The sequence below is a fragment of the Homo sapiens genome, chromosome 14 (assembly GCF_000001405.40).
Source record: "Homo sapiens chromosome 14, GRCh38.p14 Primary Assembly".
In the NCBI taxonomy this organism is placed as follows: domain Eukaryota; kingdom Metazoa; phylum Chordata; class Mammalia; order Primates; family Hominidae; genus Homo; species Homo sapiens.
The window spans coordinates 51,681,100-51,705,740 of record NC_000014.9 but is presented as its reverse complement, the minus strand read 5'-3'; the positions used below and the strand labels follow the sequence as shown (position 1 = coordinate 51,705,740).

Here is a 24,641-nt window from a genome sequence, read left to right as displayed (position 1 = left end):
GATGGGGAAAGAAGGCAGATGGAAATGGCTTGAGGAACACTTGTGGGAAGTAAAGAAGCTGAAAAAATCAAATACACACTACCTCTTCAAGATGCTTTACTGAGAAGGAAAGGCAAGAGTAGTAGCTCTTCTTTCCCTCCCCACTTTCTTTCTCAAGGATGGGTGGGTGAGAACCAAACATGTTTTGCATGTTCTCACTGAAGAAGAGTTACTTTGGGGAGGGGCTAATGATATAGAAGAGAGACAGAAAATACAGCCTAGACATGGAGGAAGGACGGGAAGAGAAACAGACAGGGTGGAGTGGAGAAAGCGCAGCTGAGACAGTTCACGTTGGAATAACCCACATTTTCTTGCTGAAAGAAGGGGTTAGTTCCTCCCCGAGAGTGGAGGACATGGAGGCCGGAGCCAGAAGTTGACATACTTGTTCTCGCAGCAAAGGAAAGCGAGGAATAATCTTACTTTTTAAAGAGTTATGTTTTTCTGCCTTCAAAGGGAGAAAATACTGCTTCGGTAAGAGTAGGCAAGAAGGTCAAGGGCATGTCAATGCTGAAAGGAGGCTGGTAAATTCCAAGCTCCACTGTATTATCAGGATGGATGGCAATTCTCTACCCCACTCACCATAAGCAGACTAAGTACATGAAGACATGATGTGCACCACGTTCTTAAGCATTAAATATCTGGGCATCACAAAGAATTTGGCCACAGAACATCTGTGTTCCCATTTCTTAAAGAGTATGAGTAGCAACACTACGAACTAGAAATGCCCGAGAGAAAACACTCTTTCGAATTTGAAAACAGTGCTTACCCAAGATGGGAAGTAAGCCTCTGGCTCGAAGTATTTTCCATAGTGCTTATTCCTTTTGAAGTTCCCAAGATCAGCCTGCAGGGCAAAGGCTGCCAGCAGGAAGTAGGCCTCCTCTCGGAGCACACACTGAGAATGAAGAACTTGTTTTCTCAGGTGCCAGTAATAATAGTATCTTGCTGCTCTGTCACTAGAAAAATAAAAGAAAACAGAACTCACATTTTGATGGAATAATCCAATGACATGTAAACAGAACCCAAATCCTTCTCTCCATCTGGTGACAGGAACCCTTCTGTTTCTGCTCCTCCCTCCCACCTCACTGAAAAGGAAGCGGTTGTAGCTAATATCTGATAGCTGCCTCACTGAGGTTGCAGGGGGTCAGAACCCCAAATCAGACTATCCAGACAATAAAAATAACGTTTCCTAAGGCTTACAGCATTTGATTCATTCAGAGAAGAAAAAGGTCTGAATCATTCCACTCTAAAATGGTAAATATTTCACTGAACAAGTATTAGAATAGAAACTAGACATGTGTTGTCTGTACTAATGTTGCTACAATGATGCTACACACGTGACATAAATAAGGAAAAATCTGAGGAGCAATCCTGCTTCAGTGTTTTGCTGTTCTTTTTATTATTTTTTAACTGAACACACTACAAATACTCTAAGGCCCTTTATAAGTATTTGCATATATACTCTTCTGGAAAAAAATTTGCTTAACAAAGGTTTCTTTTCCGTTTTTTAAACTTCTCCAAGAAGAAATGCAATGAATGCTTTCCTTAAATCTTTTTTTGGGGATTTTTTTGAAGTGAATGTTACATTACTGTTATGTTTTTACAGGCACATGTCACGACAATTATTATACTCCCCACAAAAGGAAATACTAACAGAGCACTCATTACAATCTCTTGAGATCAGAAATAAATACAGTCATCATTAAATACGTTAAGAAATGCTGACTGGGGAAAACATGGTAAAAGCTCCAAAAAATATTTACTGGCAAATAGGATGCTTTTGTGATCAAAGTAAAAATGTGTGTGTACATATTTTAATGAGCTCATTTGCCTCTACATTATTTCAGGTTGAATGTTTACCTGAGATTCATAGCTGATGTCATTAGCAGATAACAATAAACACATATGGGTTTATTTAAACTAAGACCATGGTTAAGTAGAAAGAGCTTAAAAATAAAGCATTTATGTAAATTTTCCCCCCTTAGGACAGAGTACTTTTCAGAGCACTTTTGTTTATAATGCCAACCACAGATGGTTTGGACTGGTTCATGCCTGGGAAAAAGGGGCAGAAGTATAGGGATGCATTAAAACTTAGCCCCAGGGGGTTAACTATTTGTTAAATATATATATTCCTTCTTTCCAGGTCATGCCACACTTACCAGGTAAAATAAGTAAAAATTGTATGTAAACTAAGGATAACTAATAAAGTGTCTTAGCCTTTTTTAAAAAAAATCCTTATGGGCTAATTTTTTTACTTTTTAATTTGCATCTGGCATTGATAAAAATATCAAGAGCTAATTTTACATATAACTCACTAGCCATATGTATTTTGTTTCTTTCACATGGAACTTCTCAAAGTTTAAAAATATATAAGCAAAACAGAGTTCATATTTCTAGTATTTTCTATCGGCCAAGAAATCACTTCTGAAAGTTTTCTAGCACTGAATCCTCCTATACAGACCGAGCTTCTGAAATGGTGAATTCTGAATTTGCATCCTGAGCCTACTACTGTTCATGCACACACCTCCAGAAAAAGAATCAATTACCTGCCCTTGTCAAATTGCATCTAAGATTCTGATAGGATAGCTTCACTGGGCTTAATCTTGGTTTTAAGGCTACTGCCAAGAATATAAACAAGACCCCAAACATGAAAAGAAAACCGATTATATAAACACCCATCCACTTTTATAGGAGAGTTCCTGCCTCTGACCCACTCCCACCTTACCACTGGAAAAGAACATAATCTTTTAATCAACCTCCTCACTCTTTACAAAAGTGCTAGTTTCTTCTTGAAATAAGTATCTTTTTGGAGACTGATTTGGTTATGAAAACGTGGAGTGGAGAAAATGTGGGCCAATAGATACTGTTAATATTTTTATCAACAGTCTAACATTCTTTCATTTAACAAATATTTACTGAATGCCTATTGTATCTCTGTTTTAGGGACTGAGGATATACCAGCGTACAAAATATTAAAAAGAAAAAAATTGCTGCTCCTACAGAGTTTATATCCTAAAGGTGAAGACAAAGAATAAACACACGTAACTTATTTGGTATGTTAGAAAAAGTGCTATGGGGGAAAAAAAAGCGTTTAGAATCACCCCCTGTCCTCTTACCTGATCAATCTGCCATTTTCCACATAGTACTGCACACGGAAGTGGATGATCATAGGAGGCCCAAATTGGTCGATACCCTAGAAACAAAAGCACACACAAAAATCAAGCTATTTCTAGTTACTTTGAAAATGGGTTTCAAAAGCAACCAAAATACAATTATTTGCAAGATACTTTTTGATCACTGATAGGTTTTATTTACTTATAATGAGTAGGGGCTTGTAGTAGGTAGACAGTTGTCCTATATAGATACCAGGTTCATATACAATTAGGAAGTTATAAAGCGAAACAGGGCACCATCCTTCTATCTGATTTTCATTCACTGTAATGCCAATGACAACATAAGGGAAGATAAAAATAAATGCCAGTGGAAATTTCTAGCTGAGACCCAGCTCCTCGCTCAGCTCTGTTCCCTGTGGTGACCATTTGCTCCTTATTACAAATGTTCTCTTGTTCCTCTGACATTCCACATACCAAATTCTAATATGCTGTTTGTTTATTTAGACATTCATGTTCTTTACTTTGCAGCTGGCTTTGAAGTAGCCTTCTAGTTTACTCCAAGACTTCTTAAATACAAATTAGAGGATCTAGGATTACTATTCCTGACTTACTAGGGAGGTTCTGGAAACACGAGGTGAATTCCCTATTAATGTTCTCTCATGTAAATGAAATTAATGTTTGTGAAATAAAGCACCAGTACAATGAATGGACAAAGCATCAAATGCAAGTACAGTAAAAGTAGATTTAAAAATTAGTAATAACTTCTAGAACAGCAATTTTGACACCTAGCATAGCCAAAAAAGAAGAGCAAATAATTTTTCCATACTTTTCATTTAAAAGCATTATTCCAAGATTACTAAAGTTATTATCCAACATTATTTAACAGATAATCCAGATTCTATTTATTATTTTCTATAAGCTATTAATACTTGATTAATGTGACACTTTAGAACTTATAAGTTTCTTTTCCCATTTTTTATATATACTAAGTATATATACTATATATACTTTATATACTATACTATATTTTCTACTATATATACTAAGTATATATATACACTTTAGAACTTATAATTTTCTTTTCCCATTTTCTATATATACTAAGTATATATATATATACATTTTAGAACTTATAATTTTATTTTCCCATTTTCTATATATACTACTATACATATTACTATATATATATACTAAGTATATATACTACTATATATATACTCAGCATATATAGAAAATGGGAAAAGAAAATTATAAGTTCTAAAGTGTATATATATATATACTATACATATACTATATATAACTTAGTAGATAAAGTAGAAAATATAGTATAGTACATAAAGTATTGCTTACAGTTTTCTTCTAATGTATAACAGCTAAAATAAACATTTTTTAAAAAAAATCAAAATAATTTTGCTTATAAATGTAATCTCACCCAAGTGACTTCGTATTGTCGTACCTTGCTGGCCTCTTTCTTCCATTCTTTTGGACAATATTTGTAAAGCTTTTGTGACAACTCCATATACACATGTTCATTATCTGTACATTAAAAAAAAGGAGACGACATGCTAAAGAAAGGATTTTTAAAAGAAAAAAAATATAGAAAGAAACAAGTTTCTTTTAAAGCCTCAAGACTTGTGAATGTAGTCTGAATGCACATACTAGAAAACCCAAAGAGATACTAGAAGACAAAAGGTTCTGTGAACTAGACATTAATGAGATACTTGTGAATTATTTTGCTTTTGCAATACAGAACACATACTATTAAAGTATATAATATTTAGAAGAAATCTTAGATTCCAACTTCTGCTTTTTCTTAGTTTCTAGGGTCATTATGACTTACAGTCTAACTTCTAACACTGTGGGTGTTAGTCTTAGGAAAACATGCTTTTGTTCAGCTCAAAGAAGCCTGCTCTTATAGGTACAAAATAATAAAGCAGGGCAGAAACACTATCTTAATTGCTATGTAAGAAATTAGAAAACACGGTATCAGCTCATTTCCAAGTGAGAAGTCTGACCCACATTTTGTGAAGACTAATCTTTAAGACTATTTCTTGTCCGTGTTCCACACACAGCAAAACACAGCATGACAAAATGATAAACCCTTACTCGCACTGCCTTTGGGATCAATTTCATGGAAAAGAGAAGAAACATTTTATGAAAAACAAGTATGGATGCCAAAACATCCCTTCCAGGGGATGATGCTCATAAGGTGAACAGAAAATAAGACCGCTAAAACCTATGTTAAAGTGATCTAAACACGTGAAAAGAAGCTGGTAGAAAACAAACGTTTTCATATTTCCCAAAGATAATCTTTTAAAAGAGAGAGCTATTTCACAAAAGAAGTCTTTGGCATTCCTATACTGTACAAAGTTTCAAGTCTTTTTTAAACTCCTTTTATTCTAACTATCACTAAGGAGACATCTTCACGGAAAGCTCTGCATAAAAATGTACCTGTTCTGGAAGTGTGTCTCTTTGACTACTCCAAAGATGTGCACACTTTGCTACACTTTGACTCCAAGCTGAATACTGGGACTTGACTGGAAAAATGCCAGAAGAAAATAGGAAGGGTAAAGTTACTCGTTGGTTATAAACGACATTAAGTTAACCAATTTTAATGAAAGGGTTAGAAAAGAGATCCCAGAGACAAAAAAAGGAATGCTACTTAAATCCAGTTATTAGGTCAACTAACACTATCTCCCATCTCTCATATCACTGATTAAACATGAAATAAACAAGACCAGACAATCTTCCTGTCGAAACTGATTTGTGTTTGGCTTGAGTTCCCACCTAAAGAAGCAACATAATGAATAGAATTAAGACTGTTCACCATAATAGTACATATATATATTTTTAAACTGCCACTATACCTCTGCCACCTACAATCTGACCAGAGCTTTATACCTTAAGAATTCTCAAAGCACATTAATCCTGCAAAGCTGGTGGAGTAGTAATTTCCATTTGACGCGAAAAAACTGACATTGAGAGAAGTCAAGTGCTAGTTAGGGGTGCAACCGGAATTAGAACCAGGTCAACCAATTCCTGTTTCAATGTTCTTTCGCCATACTACTATCTCTTTTTTAAAAAGGACATCTTAAAAATTATTTTGAAACCTAAGGAAGCTATAAACTGGTTTTATTGGACTTATTTGTTGAACAATAAGGATCTAGCAGTAGTTGTTGTAAGAAGAATTAACTTTGAGCATGGAATACTAAAAGTTACTTAGAATCTATAGAGCCTCTTATGGCTCTCAGACTCTTCCCTGAAAGAACGACTGAAGTATGCACTAACACAAGGATGGAGCTTAGCAACTGTGTTTTATTGTTTTAACTACCACAGGAAGAAACTGAAGAGCAAATGGCTGATTCACAAGGTCCTGATGTGTTCCCTGCTCCATGCTCTTTAGCCTCTCCTAAAAAGGCAACTGAAAACAGTCTACATTTTGGGGGAAAGGGGCCTTGTTTATCAGCTGACCAACTTTATACTGATATCCTTTCCAACTTGGCAGGTGTAAACATATTATTGTATTGACCAGATTTCCAAGATATCTTAAGCCTTGAAATTTAAACCAATTCCAGCAGTAGAAAATAAACCATATTCAAGAATTAGAATTAAATACACCGCACCAAAAAAAACTCTTCTTGACAAAATGAGCAAAGATATATAGAAGACTAAATTAGAGAAATTTAAAAATATCATTTGAAGGAAGAAAGCTTATAATAAATGGCTTTAGAGAAGTCCCAGAAATTTAACTCTAACTAAGGTGTTATGAGAGAAGAAAGCTTATATGAAGTCCTTTACTTAAAAATCTTCTCCTCACAAAGAATATAGAAGAAACTGACCCGATATTTCCAAGTCATATAGTCTGACTGGAAAAAAGAGAAGGGGTACGAGAGAAAAATAAAAAATAAGATTAAATTAATAATTACTTTGTGATACTATATAGTTAATAGCAAGATAACTTGAAAAGAGAAGTCAGTTTAATGTCAAAAATTATAAAACAAATTAAATTACTTTCCTAAGTATTCCAGCTGCTCCCTGAATGCAAGGAAACAAAAATCAAGCTTGCTTCATTAAAACATGGAAGAGCAAACACATAGAATCTAGATTCCCAAAGAGGAATCAATTTTTAAGTTCAAACTATAATAAATAAATGCCTAAAATCCTAAATATTGTAAAAAATACATAGAAATTGAGATTAAAAAATTAAATACTACACCTACACTAAAAATGAAAATCAGTCCATGGGTATTTTGACAATCACAGTTTTATAACAATAGGCCCAATTTAAGTTATAGCTATAAGATGTCATTTCCTCAGGGATAGTTGGCTAAATCCATCAGAGAGGGCTCTAAGACTTACTTTGTATAACACTGAGTCCAAAGAGGTGGCAGTCCTTTAGCCTGAGCAGGTCACAAACCTGGACCAGCAACTGGTGACACAGAATCTTAACCTGTAGGGGAAAAAGGCACGACGTAAAATAACAATTCAACTAAGTCCACCCAGGGAGCCACAATCAGGCAATTTAATGCATCGTAAATATATTCCTTGAAAGGACAAGCTGACAGTAGAAAACAACTGCTGCTTTATCCAAATCACTTTAACCTGGGGTTGTGTTTCAGTAATGATGATCACAGTACCAGTTTTTACAACATGGTAATAAAGTACAAGACTCACAGATCTTACCATACATGGACAAAGCTCTGAAACCATGGTGCATGATAAATGATAAATGAGTTTCAGAAAGTAAGCAGCATAGCCTACTCAGATTACTAAAAATATTTATTTGGCAAGTATCTTTTTTAAAAAATTTTTATTCATTTGTTTTTTTAATTGACTAATAAAATTGTATATATTTATGGTATACAACATAATGTTTTGATATATGTATATACTGTGGAATGAATAAATCAGACTAACATATGCATTATGTCACATATGTATCTTTTTGTGGTGAGAACACTTAAAATTTATTCTTAGCATTTTCAAGTATACATCATCATTAACTACAGTCACCACGTTGTACAATAAATCTCTTGAACTTATTCCTCCTAACTGAAATATTGTATTTTTTTACTAATATCTCCCCAGTCCCCCTAACTCCTCAGTCTCAGGTAACCATCATTCTATTCTCTGCTTCCCTGAGTCAGACTTTTTTAGATTATGCAGGGTTTGTCTTTCTGTGCCTGGCTTATTTCATTAAACCTAACATCCTCCAGGTTCATCCGTTATTGCAAATGACATGATTTCCTTCTTTTTAAAGGCTGAATTGTGTTCCACTGTGTGTATGTGCCACATTTTCTTTATCCATTTATCCACTGGTGCACACTTAGGTTGATTCCATACCTTGACTGTTATGAATAATACTGCAATATACATGGGAGTGCAGATGTCTCTTTGACATAATGATTTCATCTCCTTTGGGTACATACCCAGGAATGGGGTTCCAGGATCATATGGTAGTACTATGTTTAATATTTTGAGGAACCCCCATACTGCTTTCCATAATGTCTGTACTAATTTACATTCCCAGCAACAGTGTACAAGGGTTCCCTTTTCTCCACATCCTCGTCAACACTTGTTATCTTTTGTCTTTTTGATAATAGCCATTCTAACAGGTGTGAGATGTCACATTTCCCTGCTATTTAGTGATGCCGAGCATTTTTTCATAAGCCTATTGGTCATGGGTGTATCTTCTTTTGAGGGACGTCTACTCAGGACAAGTATCCTTTCAAGGAAAGCTTTCCTCTTAATAGTCTACCCCAAAAACTCATCTACTGTACAACGAGTTGGTCTAGACTTTTTTTTAAAGACAGAGTCTCAATCGACTTTTTTTTTTTTTTGTAGAGACAGGGTCTCTCACTACGTTGCCTGGGCTGGTCTTAAAACTCCTGACCTCAAGCAATCCTCCCATCTTGGCCTCCCAAAGCGCTGGGATTACAGGGATGAGACACCATGCCCAGCCTGCCTAGCTTTTAATTTATCACTGTTATTTTGTCTAATATATTTTTAGTGCCTAAACCAGATTCCTTTTCTGAGTCTTAGTATACTTCAATCACAAAGCCATATTAATTTGGAACTCTGGCAATAAGTTATTCTGACAAGTCAAAAGTTAACTGATAGTCTTTAAAAGATACAATTTTCTTTCTCAATATTATTATTATAAATAATAACTCATACAAATAATATTTGTATTATTATTACAAATAATAATTATTATCTCATAATAATGCTTTCTCAAATGTTTAAAGTAGTATTATGGAGGACAGTAATTCTGCTGATTCTATCTTGTTGACTTCAGAATCATCAAGGTTTATTAGAGTTTGGATAGAGTTTAAGAAACCACCCAGGTCAATTTATTTTCTGAAAATAAAACTCAGAAAGCTTAAAGTCATATCACTAATAGTGGCAAAGGCAGCAACTCACAGCTTATTTGTGTATTAAAATACCTTAATTATTAAATATATATATTAAAATATTGTAACATGACAGTTTATCATTTTACCTATATGCATTACATATGGCATTCTCCCCTTTTATTAGTACTATCTGCTTTCAAATCCTTTTTTTCAATGATAATGAGTTTAAGTTATTATAAATTCTAAAAATTAACTCTGAATTAATGACTTTATCATATCTTAATATGAAACTCAGATTAGGAAAATAAAGACACGCCAAGATCCCTTGAAATTTGAAAGTAAACAATTCAGAACTGGTGATAATTCCGACTGTAGTAAGAAGAATGGGTTTACTGCTCTTTTCCACATTCATTATTAAATAGCAACCAACCTAAAGTATCTTACCCACTGGAAAGAGCAGAAGATATTTAAGACCAAAGTAGCACCAAGTGAGCTGCTTGGAAGTACCAGGAACTCATGCAGGAACAGTGTCTTATTTTACATTCAGGATCTATAGTAGGCACTCAGTAAATGTTCGATGAATGAAAGGCAGGAATCTGATTCCCTGTGGGCTCCTGCTCACCTTCATTCTGTTCCATGACTAGAGATCAAGACCACTCCCTGAATTACTGAGCAAACCATTTTATAAATATGCCATTCAGCATTTTAGGAAAACTGTATAAATGCAAACCCACCCACCACCACCACTGGAGAACACATTTGCCAATGGGGAATCATTATCATTCTCTTTGTGTACAGCTAGGTTGAATCACCTGACATTCTAGATTTCTGTCCTATAGAAGTCCTATGTCATTTCCAACACTCACTTTAAAAGGCCTCTGGATTTTGAGTTCCATTATCATCGTAATTCTACCTTACAAATAAACTTAAACAATGATAAAGAAGAGGAGAACACATCAATTATCACATAAAATTCTTAAGTTGAACTATATACTACAAATTTGTGACTTAAAATGTCATGTTGTTTACAGCACCTTTAATCCTTAGTTTGACTGTATTTAAAAACGTTGGGTACAAGGCAGCCAAGATAAAATGCCATAAGAAGTTAAAATTCCAAACCACAAACTAAATGTATAGGAAATAAACTGTTTTAGGCTCGTGTGACTGTAGACCAAATAACGTTATATATTTCCTCCATGCAGCCCATACATTTATTATTGTTCTGCTAGTTTAAATCAAGTATTTGAAGCCTACTGGTAAAGCTCTTTAACAAATATCAAGTAAGCAGTGCTCTTATTCAAAAACTATAATTAAATAAGGCCATGGCTCTGAAGTCTTGCCTGCTGTGAAAATAAGCTTGAGTTTTCTGTATTTGCATATTATGAGTCTTTAAGGCTACATTTTAGCTGACTGTAAAATTTCTCAAGTTCTTTAATCTTCAGGAGCAATGGGAATGTTAAAAAGTGCTATATAGTATGAGGTATTAAGAATAAGAATTAAAGCTTTATCTAAAAATATACTCTATATGGACTATTTTTTTTCCCTTGAGACAAGGTCTCACTCCGTTGCCCAACCTGGAGTGCAGTGGCACGATCACAACTCATTGCAGCCTCAACCTCTCAGGCTAAAGCAATCCTGCTACCTCTGCCTTCCAAGTAGCTAGGACCACTGGCAGTGCCACCATGCCTGGCTAATTTTTAAATTTTATGTAGAGACAGGGGTCTCACTATGTTGCCCAGCCTGGTCTCAATCTCCTAACCTCAAATGATTCTCCTGCCTCAGCCACCCAAAATGCTGGGATTACAGGTGTTAGCCACCTCACCCAGCCTCTATATGGACTTTTAAATTAAAATAGTATGTGATCCTAAATGTTAATGGTTTGTTATTGTGCAGGAATGTTTAAAATATACTCTAGAAAAAAAGAATTGCTTAATCTTAGTGAAGACATATAAGCTCGTGGCCACAATTACTTCACTCAAATCTTTATGGCTCCTACATTTACAATGGTTTTACTTCCAAAATTGTCCAAAGCTTCCATATTTGCCTGATGATTAAAATCATTTAAAATAGCTTCTATTAATGCAACTCACAGGGAATTCAGAATGACCAAAACACTAAATTTATTCCATATGCAAAAAGGCAACATTCTATCAACCACACCTGTCAGGGAACAAACTTTCATTGTTATAGAGAGAGAAATTATGAAAAAATTAGTTAATAAAATCGTTTTTGCTACAGTTAATTTATTACACTCAAACTCTATACACATTGACTGCTATTTTCTGAACACAAAGATAACACTTTGTAAAAAGGGAGGGCCTCTTGGCAGCCATGAATTGTTTTTCTGGTAGTGGGGAAGCCTCCATCCTACGTAACCTAGTCCCTTCTTTGGTCCAACCGCTTACTGGAGAGGAGTTTGGGCATAGTGAGTCTACATGCTTGTGTCCTACCTTAGACCTGCCCTGAAATAAGAAATCTTGCAGGCCTACATGGGATTCAGACTCTTCATCTTGGTTTATTAACAGAGTACACTAATGAAATGAACAAACAGTTCAAGGAACTAAAAAGTAAACTGACACTCAAGGGTTCACTTACTGAGCAATTCACATATGCAGGCACTTCACTGAATACTTCATGCATGTGACATCTTTAAATCCTTGCAATGTCCCTGTGCAGAGGGTAAGATTATCCCTACTTCACAAATGAGGAAACCAAAGCAACAAAACAAAACAACTAGAAAATTTGCCCTAGATTGCAAAGTTGTGGAGTAGGGATTTCAACCCAGGTACCTGTGACTCCAAAACCCACCTTAATCGTGATATATGACCTCACAGTCCATGATCATAGTCCTAACCATGTTAGAGAGATTATCATACTAACACTGTAAAAGAGAAGAGTTGAAAAAGTATAATTTATCTCTGCCTAGGGATTAAAATGATAATAGCAGCTATTATATATGCATCAGAAATTATGCTGAGTGTTAATCCTAAATTCTCACAATCACCCTGCAGCGTAAGTATTATTCTCATTTTAAAGGTGAAGATGTTGAGGCTGGAAGAGGTATAATTAACTTTCCCAAAGTCATTCAGATATGAGATTTGAATTCAGGTCTGTGTGTTTTAAGTATATCCATGTGTTTTCACTTCCATACTACTCTTCGATTATTCTATAGAGGGAAGACAGAAATGAAGCTAATACAAATTCAGTACCCACTAGGTACCAGGTACTGGGCAAGTTGAAACACAATCGAGTAACCAGAATTCCAGAGAGTGAAAGAAACTAGGTGGTGCTGGCACATAGATCTTTGCCTGTTTCGCTCAAATTTTAGAGTATCTATAGCATCTATTTAGGGCAGATGCTTGCATCCTGCCTCAGACTCACTACATCGGCATTTCTCTCATCCAAGTACTAACCAGGCCTGACCCTGCCTAGCTTTTGAGATCACATGAGATCAGGCAACATTCAGGGTAGTATGGCCATAGACTACACAATCTGAATATTAGTAAGCTGCTCCAAATAATTCTGATATATATTCAAGTTTCAAAACCACTGATCCATAGGAACAAATGAACTAGCTATCTTCCAGTCTGTTCTCTATAACTATCTTCCTCAGCTGAGATTTTAGTATAAATTAATTTATTTGAAAATTATAGTCAGCTTTCAGTATTCTTCACTGTCAGATTAGCCTTCCCTTCACTTAAATGTGGTAAGGTGTTGTTCCACAACCTGCTTGTGTGTGTACACACACACACACACACACACATTGCACCACGTAAAAAGACAAATGAAAGTGAGAGAAGTTTCTTAAGTGCTTATGCTATATGTCCTAGATTATGTATATTTTTAAAAATTATTGGATATCTTTTATATAACTGTATAAAAAGTAAAACAAAATATTCACATATGTAAGTAGGATTCAATTATAACTTATATTGCTAGTGCCCCCACTGAAAAAAGAGACACATTGTCGATTTTTATTCAGTTTAAAAAACCAAATGCTGTCAAAATAGTAGCCCACCACTTCACACATCCAAAAACAATTTCAGTTACCCTGAGCAGCAATGTAGCTAATCATTGGAAATTCTGCCCAAAAGATGACAAAGTTCATCCAATAGGCAGGCCTGTTGGATCCTCAGACAATCCCTAGAAGCAAAAATGAGGATACAGCAGTAAATTAAGAAATTGGGTTGATTGTCAGAATAAAGCCAAAATGACTATAGCAATAAGCAGAAACTTTTCTTAGCTAAACTTTTTAATGAAGTTATTTAAATGTCATATATTTCAGCATAATATTTAGAAATATTCTTTTATATAGCAATTGGATTAAAAATATAGTAACATAGCCAGGCACAATGGCTCACGCCTGTAATCCTAGCACTTTGGGAGGCTGAGGCAGACAGATCACGTGAGGTCAGGAGTTTGAGACCAGCCTGGCCAACATGGTGAAACCCCATCTCTACTAAAATTACAAAAATTAGCCAGGTGTGGTGGCAGGCACCTGTAGTCCCAGCTACTCGGGAGGCTGAGGCAGGAGAATCGCTTGAAGCTGGAAGGCAGAGACTGCAGTGAGCCAAGATTGTACCACTGCACTGCAGCCTGGACAGCAGAGAAAGACTCTGACTCAAAAAAAAAAAAAAAAAAAAAAAATCAAAATCAAAATAAATAAATAAAAATATAGTAACATATAGGAAACTAATTCAAGTCATGCACTAAGGCAATTTTTTCCTCTAATTCCATCAGAATACAATCTATGAAAGAAACAGTATGAAAGTTGATAACACAGAGAGGGGTTGAAAAATCTTAGGCATGACACTGATTACCATAAAATTGTTTGGCAGTCTCTACCAAGGCTAAACATAGTGTAACCTATGATTCACAATTACTCTTCAGTATAAACCAAGAAATATTTCTACATGTGCATACACATAACATGTTCATAACAGTTTTACAATAGCCCAAAACTCAATATCTATCCATCAACAGTAGATGAATAGATTGGGTGTATTCGTACAATGGAATATCACACAACAATGTAAAAGAAAGAATTATTGTCACATGGATTCACATGAATAAATTTCACAGGACAAATGTTGAGTAAAAGAAGCCAGAAGAGAATATATCACATAACTTCAGCTTCATGAAGTTAAGAAACAAGCAAAACTTTGGTGACAAGAGATCAGAATAGTTTTTACCCTTTAGGTGAAGGATATTGACTAGGAGGGGTCACAAAGGACCTTTCTAGGGTGCTGGAAATGTTTTATATCTCAAACAGTGATGGTTACATGGATGTATACAATTGTAAACATTCATTGAGCTGCACACATAAGGTTTCTATACTTTGCAGTATGTAAATTATAACTCAATTTTTTTAAAGTTAAAAAAAAATCACATTCCTCAATGTTCAGGTTATCTAAGCAAGCTGACTATGACTCACAAACCATAAGCAACAGCTTAGTGCTCAAATGTTCAGCCTATAGGCACCTAGTCCTGGAAATTGGCTAGATTTTGGCTACTCTTAAGATAAAATCAAGATGCATATTAAAAAGCTATCTAAGGCTGGGCGCGGTGGCTCACGCCTGTAATCCCAGCACTATGGGAGGCTGACGCGGATCACCTGAGGTCAGGAGTTCGAGACCAGCCTGGCCAATATGGTGAAACCCCGTCGCTACTAAAATATAAAAAATTAGCCGGGCGTGGTGGTGCGTGCCAGTAATCCCAGCTACTCGGCAGGCTGAGGCAGGAGAATCGCTTGAACCCAGGAGGCAGAGGTTGCAGTGAGCTGAGATCATGCCACTACACTCCAGCCTGGGTGACAGAGTGAGACTCTGTCTCAAAAAGCAAAAACAAAAAACAAAAAAAACTATCTAGGTTGGTGCAAAAGTAATTGTAGTCTTTGATACTACTTTCAATGGCGAAAGCCACAATTACTTTTGCACCAACCTAATAGCGATGATTACCATTTCATGTGTGTGGGTGACAACTCTAAGCATTTAAGACATAAATTCATATACTTCAATAAAAGTTATATTTCGATCAAAAGTTTAAAAATAGCAAATGTTTGTTTTTCAATATAGTAACCATAGTCCTCTAATTCTAACCCAGGTGAGAGAATGTTGAAGGCAGCTGCACACAAGCCACAAAGCTAAGTTAATGTATGTATGGACTATTTGACAACCCAATTCTGCCACATGATTACTGCCCTAATTCTGTAAAGATTTCACCCTTAATCAAGTCATAAGTTGAATGTGGCCACTGGTGAAAACACAATATTTAGACATTTCTAAAACTGGATCTACTCACATTTATGATGATGTTCAGAGATTCATCGTTGGGAAGGAAAATGCACACACTGCGGCGGTCTTGCATGACTCTGTTGTTATGAAAATTCAATTTGTTCATTGTGTTTTGGGCACTCTGGTGGTCAGGGCTGGGCTCTGGGTCCTTGGCAATTCCTCAGGTTCCCAGCACTCCAAAGCCAAGCTCGCCTCCTCATCACACGCCCTGCAGGAGAAGCATCACGGTGTTCGACTACGTGGGTTTCATAGCTGTGAAAAAGCCAAAGGGGAGACTCCTGAAGAAAGGCGGTGAAGACTGCGAAGAGCGCGTCAGGAAGATAAGCACAGCACCACTACTATTGTGGGCACAGGGACAGCATATCTCCAGCCAGCACCACCTTATTTAATACATGGGAACTCACTGAAATTCATTCTGTATTTTGCCCACAAAGTTTTAAAGCTTTCATCCACAGTCAGGAATTAAACTTATAACCAATGAGAGCCTCACACATTCAAGGATGTACTAAGTACTACAGGCCTCACAGAAACAGAGATCCTGTCTTGGAGGAGTTTTCAGTCCCACATGGGAGATAAAGGGTTTTGAACATGAAATGGCAAAAACAACAGCAATAAGAAAATTCTCGTTCTTTTTCATAACTATCAAACTCAAATAAATGTCTTGGCTCTTACATTACATTCATTCTTCAACCACTGTGGTCTGGCTTACACTTCCTTCACTTCACCAACATGGCTCTGCCAAAGGAAGCCCATGATCTCTAGGCCATCACTTTAATTGATCTCTCTACAACATTTATCCTGGTTGCTAAGCCCTCCTTACAACATTCTTCTTAGTTTTTATAGCTCTGTCTCTCCTGCTTCTTTAACCTAATAATGCATACTTGATTTTTCTATTATTTCATAAGCCAATTAATACACAGATAAAACAAGACTGTATATATCAAACCATGTTTGTATAGAAAAAATGGATTTTGGATGCCTCTCATATCTAATTAGTTCTATTAAACATATTAACTGTATTGTTTAACTTATCAGGTTTTTGACATAGAGAATTTTGTTTGCAAGTAATAGAAATTTTATCTCCAATTTTCAATAATTACACCCATTATTTCTGTTTTATGTCTCATTGCATTAGTGAGATCTTGCAGAATAATTTTAAAACAGTAGTGGGTATTTTCTACTTTTAATGGGTGTGTCTAGTATTTCATATATTGTTGCTAATAGAACACTATTCAACCAAGACAAGTCAAGACTAGTCGTCTGTCAAACCATTAGTATTTATATTATTCCTTTCCAGCTACATTTGTAGGACGTAAAAGACTATTTCCAGGAATATGGAACTGTTTTACTAGGTGGAGAGTATATATAACCATACAATTTTCACAGAAAATACATTAATACTCACATAAATCAAAGCATAAATGAAATAGAATCTTGGCCGATTTGCTTAAGGTTAAATGTATAACTCTTATCAGCAGGAGGGGAAAGAATATATTCTTAGATACTTGGCACATTTAGAAAATATAATCTAGTATTCTTCTTAAAGAATAAATAAAACATCATTTACAAGGGAATTACTCGAAACTAAAACAAATGGTAATCATATATACGGTACTTCATTATTAGGAAGGTGGCTAAAAGCCCATTTAGAAGTATTCTGCTTTTCTTAATAATAATCATCTCATGTTAGGTTATAGCCAGTACATCACCTCATGGGGTCATTGGAGGCCTGTGCTATCGTTCTCACTAGGATGGATGGTTAACCCATGTGTTCTAGGACCACAAACTATGCCCCAAGCTACTCATCCATCTTGAAAAAAAAAAAACACGCATGCTTTTCCTTCAACAATTCCAAAGCATCAGTTGGAGGACCAGGGTTGGCTGCATCAGAATCACCTGGGTGTTTGTAATGAACACAGAATCCTGAGCAGGTATTCTGGCATTTCTATTCATACAGAATCTCCAGGGTCAGAGCTAGGTATTTCTGATGTGTAGCAACAGATGGAAACCACCACTTTACTTAGCAGAAGGAAGGGACTGAGCAGAGGGTTGAATATAATACATTGGAAAAATATCTTAAAGATAGAGAATTGGGAAAAAGTAATATAGGTGAATATCACATCATCTTTATAATAGAAAAAAAAGGTCCTCAACATTGTCAAAGGTATGAATTCCTAAAACAGGTCAAATTTGTGTGCTCAAAACATTTTCCTGAAAAATGTTACTAGGTGGTACAGGGATAAATAGGTTTGCAAAGTACTGTACCCTATATATGTCCTCTCTTAGAAATCAGAAAGTGTTAAAGGCTCTGAGAAGTGTTGCAGGCAACTTCTTATATTTAATGCAGTATATCTCAAACTTACTTGGGCACACAATACTTTTTTCCCCCAAGGCATATCTATTAAGGTCCTATAGAACAATATTCTTAGGCATACCATTTAGAGATACAATTCTAAAATGATTTTATCAAATATTATATTTCATGACAAAATTTTCCCCTATATATTGATATATTCCAACACTTAGTCTTCCTTTTTGCAATATAAATCTTTTCAAGAAGAAATTATAAGCTTTGATTAAATGCATCTTAAATTCAAACCCTTAAGTAATATTCATCCCAGTGTAATTCTTATTTAAATCTGTACTTCAAATTGAGTTAGTCCTATAATTTTTCACTTCTAATTAAACCAATTAAAGCAGGGTATGTCTACTGACCTACTTTCCAGAATTTAAAAAATAAACTAGAAAAAAATATCTTCTGAGCTGTGGGATGTTTCCAGAGCTTCATTAAAATAACTTGAAATTTTCATTTGGGTACAATTTTTGCTTATTTTATGGCTCAAATATGCAGCACAGAAGATGACTGGAAGAGGATTATTGAAGCAAATGTAATAAAAGCAGAGTCGATACGAAGCAGCACTGCTTCATTGCTGCTTTTTCTGCTTTGAGGATGGCAAACTAGAAAAGCCCTTAAAGAAAGAGTTTAAGTTTTTACTTTACCCAAGACAGCATTAAAGCTGATTAAAAGGCTCCAATGAAATGGCAAAATAGCCATATCTCTAATATGCACCAGTATAAAACTTAATCTTAAATTGGGCAGTCCTGGGGAAAAGAATTAGATTAAATTTATACCAATTTGAATTTTAGAAGTCAGCCTCACAACAGCCATTGGCTACTTATTTTGTATCCTAAACTAAATCTCAACTCAGTCCCAGGAGGACACATTTCTTACTACAGGGCAACCCTTTCCTGTCCAATGATCTTAGGATCTATTATCTTCGAAGGGTAGACCATGTGGTAGTAACATATTTTCCAGGGAACAAAAAAAAAATCAGTTTTAATAGTGATCAAACCCCACCCAGCCTCTTTATTTATTAATATCCAACTTACAAAAACAATATGTTGAGCTATACAATTCCCCCACTGGAACTTTAAGTGCACATTATTATAAGCTCCTTATTTCCTGATAAGTCCCAATGGTTACAAAATTATTCCATTTCTTTTAAGAATCAGGAAGCCACCACCCATGGGCATTCAATACTGATTGTCATTTTTAACAAATTGTGGGAAAAAAGCTTTAAAACTGGGTCCACTACCCCTAAAAGTATGCAGTTTTGTTATAATGTATCAATACTGATTTGTTAGTTGTGACAAATATACCATAATCATGTAAGATGTTAGCAACAGGGGAAACTGGGTGCCGGTGTGGTATACAGAAACTCTCTATACCACCTTTGCAACTGTTTTCTGAATCTAAAACTAAGGTAAGTATTTTTTTAATTTTAAAATTAAAAGTAGGTCACCAGAAGTTTCCTACCCACATAATATAGTCTCATATTGAATGTAGGCAAAGGAGGATTTTCAATTCTAGGACTGTCTCTTAAAAAGTAAAAAGCTGGTAATTTGTTAAGATTACTGTAAGCGAAGCATGACTAAGTAGGCATGTATCAACAGTCAATATGGTATCTTCATCACCTAACAAAAACAAGGCAAAAATTTATCTTGGAAAACTGGATTGTAGAGAATCCTATCTTCTAATTTAATCATCACACATTTATACAGCTCGTGTTACACACACAGTACGGTAATATTTATTTGCTGAAAAGCAGAATACAAAAGCATTAGATACTCCCCCTCCACCTATATGAGTTCACCATCTAGTTAAGGACATATCACACTGCCAAGAAGCTTAAAACGATAATATTGTCCCGATTTCTAAGAGCACACATACTCTGATGGGCAACTCTCATGCCAACCTCAAAGGAAGATATAATGGATAACAGTATTAAGTACACAAATACTGTGCTATGAATACTGTAGCTAAGATCATTCTGGAATAAACTGTATCATCTTTAATGTATAGTATCCTATCCCAAAAGTGATATCAAAATGTCTTTAGTAAAATGAGTTCTGTTTTTGTTCATTCTTTCATTCAACACCTGTCTGCCAAATGTTGCTGTATGTGCTGAGTACACTAACAGCACTAACAAAAATACCCTGCTCTAATAGAAACAGACAATAAGCATATGATATAGATGGTGACATGTACTATGAAGAAAAATAGGCCCAGAGTACTTGATAGAGTTGATGGAGATATGGTTGTGGTGTGGATGCTATCTCATATAGGGTAATCAAGGGAAGCATCTCTAATGAGTCAATATTTAAGGAAACATCTAAATGAAGAAAGAGATGTAATTTCCTTCCATCTGTCCATCCATCCATCTATCCCAGGCAAGAGTTTTCCTTGCCAAGACTCACTTACTGTTCAGAAAAGGCAAAATAATAGTGCTAATGATAGCTAGCATTTACTACAAACTTACCATGTTCCAGGCACTGTTAGGTACTTATGGTATGTTAAGGAAACCTGCAAACTCACTCTCATGCTTCCCATTCAGAGGTGGGATCTATTTCCCCTCTCCCTGGATCTGGTCTGGTGCTGTGACTAACTCATGCTCAGTAAGAAGTTTTTCCTTGTGTGGATAATCTACTTGTGCAATACTCCTTGTAAGTACTCCTCAGTTGTCTGTCTCCTCTACTCAGCTCTTCTCAGAGGAGGGTCACTTCACTAGCTACATATTTTGCTTAATCTCCAATGACAGGCACATAGTATATGCTCATTAAATGTTAGCTGTTTGGCTTCCTATACATGAAGATTCTACTGAAGGGTTTTTTAAACTTGCCACTACTGACATTTTGGGCCAAATATTCTTTTTGGTGGGGGGCTGTCCTGCACATTGTAGGATGTTCAGCAGCAGCCCTGGCCTCTACTCACTAGCTGCCAGGAGCCCCTCTCCCATCAGTTGTAACAATCCCAAATGCCCTCAGACATTCCAGAATGTTCTCTGGGGGCAAAATTACCCATGGTTGAGAACTAGTGCTCCACAGGTTTCCATATAGAGACACTATGGGCTACTTTTTACCATCCAGCTGTTTTTTATTTAATAATACAATTCTTACTAAATACATATTTTCCAGCTAAAGATTAGCAACTGAGTGCTAAACTCAGAAATCTGGCTTGAACTTTAAAGACAATTTTCAACCTCTTGAATGTGTGTGGCCTCTGGCTTTGGAATAGCTTTGAAGTTTAACTTCTTAAAACTTAAATATTTACTGCAGTATACAGCCAAACTTCTCACATAAATACACTTCCACAATCCCCACCTGCTTGTTCCTGAAGAGTCCTTTATTTTGATAACAGTACCTGAAAATATAAAATCTGACCTGGAAACAACTATTTTAATTTGCTTGCATACTCTGTACTATGAGGGTTTTTTTTTTTTTAAGGGTCATTTATTTATTTAAAAACAAAACAAAACATTTAGGAGCCACAGATTTACTTTTCTCACTTAAGGTGAGAGATAAACTGAACACTCTGTTTCATGGCCTGTTTTACAGTTACCATTTTACCTATAAAGAAAGTAGTTGACATCTATCAACCATCTGGAGCCAAATACTCTGGAAAGAACATCAGATTCTTTGTTGCCGTCTCTTTCCTACCTTCCAACCATTGCTCTGGTGGATAAATGAGGCACTGTGGAAAGGCTAAGATCGCCTTTGATATGGCTTAACCTCATGTTTAGAGACAATACAAACAGATTACTGATTAAGAAGATAGATTTAAGGGTTAAATAACCCTTTCTCAAATCAGTCAAATCTGGATCTTAATCTGGATTCCACAACACCTGCTGTGTGACCTTCGGTAAGTTACCTGACCTCTAAATCTGATTCTTCATCTGTAACATCTGTAGTATTGGCCGCCTAAGATTATTGGAAGGGTTAAATGAGATAATGGATATAAGTATTAGCTATCAGGTTATTTGGGTGGGAAAGATTGTTCATTAAAACAAGAGTCAAAGCCAAGCACAGTGACGCACATCTGTAATCCCAGCACCTTGAGAGGCTGAGGCAGGAAAATTTATTGAGGTTAGGAGTTGGAGACCAGTCTGGGAAACACAGCGAGACCCCATTTCTACTAAAAAAGTTTAAAAAAAAAAAAATAGCTGAGCATGGTGGCACATGCCTGTAGTCCTAGCTACTCAGGAGGCTGAGGCAGGAGGATCACTTGAGCCCAGGAGATGGGCTCAAGTCATTGCTGCAGTGAGCAATGACTGTGCCACAGCACTCCAGCCTGAGCAACAGAGCAAGGCTCTGTCTCAAAAATAAAAAAAATAAAAACTAGTCATGAGTTGCCAGGTCATGAGAAGGAATATCTACAACTGATTAATAAAAATACACTCATACAGAGATCTAGGCCTCGGAGCCAGATGTAGCAAATGAGCTAAACTTTAAGAAGTCTACTTTTGGGTAGGGAAGTTAAGCGTATTGTTGGTTGTAAATGGAAAAGTGGCATTATATTAAGTGGTTACTCCTTTGAAATTTTATGTACTGAAAGACAGTGCGTATGGGTGTATGGGTTGAAATGTGTGCTGGCTGACCAAAGAATGGAAGGTAGAGGACATCTGTTTTAGTCTGCCTGGCACCATCTTTCCAGTGGGGCTATTGATCACAGTGTGTTGTCCCCACCCTGGCTGATGGGGGTGATGTAGGAGAGGGATGTAACTCACAGCTGGCCAAACAGGGTTCATTCTCCAACCACAGTGCTTGGTCTAAATGCTGAACATGTAACCCAAGCAAAACCAGAATTCCTCCATGAAATTTGTGATATAAACGCTGGGAAGGAGAGAGCTGCTCTTCTTTTTGTATTGCTCTTTGTGAAAATAATATGAGCCTGGAGTTGCTGGCAATCATCTTTGATGCCACATGGTAAGAAATCTCCTGAGAAGGACATCATCACAGAGGAAAGAGAAGCTCAGAAAGAATCCTGATTGCATCATTTGAACTGCTGCATCTAGCTATCTGAAGCCAGAAACCATCCATAGAAATTCTCATATAGTGAGCCAGCAAGTTATCTTAAGCTAATTATGTTAATTCTGCCACTTGCAACAGAGTAAGTCCTCTCTAATACAGATAATCCAAACAAGAAGCTGACTGACTGCTTGATACATTCATTCATTAATTCACTGTTTCCTATCTCTGGCTATACCAACATTGATATTTACTTTACTTAAAAAAAAAAACAAAAAACTGCTCTAAGTTTTAAAGTTTCTCTCCAATCCAAAAAAAGGAGAATAGTCACTATTCACCATAAGCAGAGAAGACCAAGAAGATGGGGGATAAAATCTGAGTAGCTGAAAAATTTAGGTGGTTGGGTTAAAATAATAGTAAATTATTATTTCACCCAATAATCCCACTTACAGGGAATATATAAGTAGAAAATAATTCAAAATAAATCACTAACACAGTAAATAATTTATGGAAATAATGCAAAATTCATTTAAGGCAAACAAAGCATATTGGGCAATTAATAACAGTAATTTTCAGCAACAAAGGAATATCTCATCTTGCATACTAATGTGTGGGTGAATAGTCCTCTTATTAAAGACCACAATGTGTTTTACAGAATCACGCAGAATATGCTTTTATTGTATTGTACATTTGTAACAAATTAGAGTAGCTGTAAAAAAATGCTTTTACTGCAAACAAAATAACTGGAAAGCATGGTTGATATGTAATTTGAAAATTGATCAGTAAACAGTGTAATCATAGCAATTTTAGTAAAAATAGCTTTAATTTGAAGCATATTTTATAAATTTGGTAAGGGGAAAACCATTAAGCTAATTACCAAATGCAAGCTAAGAAACTGTAATCTGACTGTAACATTATTATACTATACAATTGTAAGTGGCTGTGTATGTCACTTGAAATGCAGGCTAGTTGTTGAATCAACAGAAAGGCTAAGTTTTGAAAGAGGAAATACTGTATGGCAGTAGGCAGCATAATAGGCTGTTAAGAGCTTGGACTCTGGAGCCAAACAGCTTGGGTTTGAACCCAAGCTCAGACACTTCCCACCTGGGTACCCTTGGGCAAGTCTCTGTACTTCTTTGATCAATTTTGCTCACCTTTGAATTGAGATTCATGTGAAGTTTATTAAACGGGTTACTCATATGTGAAGCACTTTGAACAGAGCTTGATATACAGTATGTGTTACTGTATTTACTAGCAAGAAACATAACTGGCTTCATATCATGGAAAGCAAGTGGAAGCACTGTTGTTTGCAAACATGTAGTGGTCACTATCTATGCTATTTTATCATATCTTGAAATCTAAATAAATGGTGTTTTTCTCCTGTTGGCAGCTAACAGATTATTTAACTTCTGTATTTAACCAATGAGGTTAACCTCGGGGTTAGGAACAAAAAAAGAACCTTCCAATTAAAGTGGACTTGCATTGGTGCCAAGTAATGCTCATCATACTCTAACGAAAAACATTATGTGGGTAGTACT

General features: G+C 35.9%; 1 protein-coding gene and 1 pseudogene across 31 annotated transcripts in view; both read right to left on the bottom strand.

Moving 5' to 3' along the window:
• FRMD6 (FERM domain containing 6) overlaps positions 1-24,641 on the bottom strand; it is a 334,297-nt gene that overhangs the window by 24,987 nt on the left and 284,669 nt on the right. For 16 of the 31 annotated variants that reach the window (XM_047430922.1, XM_047430926.1, XM_047430921.1 and 13 more), the window contains 5 exons: positions 15,806-16,050; positions 7,509-7,599; positions 4,582-4,685; positions 3,153-3,229; positions 806-992 (listed from right to left, as the gene is read on the bottom strand). In XM_047430922.1, coding sequence (XP_047286878.1) covers positions 806-992; positions 3,153-3,229; positions 4,582-4,685; positions 7,509-7,599; positions 15,806-15,904 — 558 coding nt within the window. In that variant the 5' untranslated portion in view covers positions 15,905-16,050. The remainder of the gene's footprint in view (positions 1-805; positions 993-3,152; positions 3,230-4,581; positions 4,686-7,508; positions 7,600-15,805; positions 16,051-24,641) is intronic. The other 15 variants (XM_047430931.1, XM_047430932.1, XM_047430933.1 and 12 more) reach the window with 1 other exon arrangement.
• RNA5SP385 (RNA, 5S ribosomal pseudogene 385) lies at positions 12,880-12,989 on the bottom strand (annotated as a pseudogene).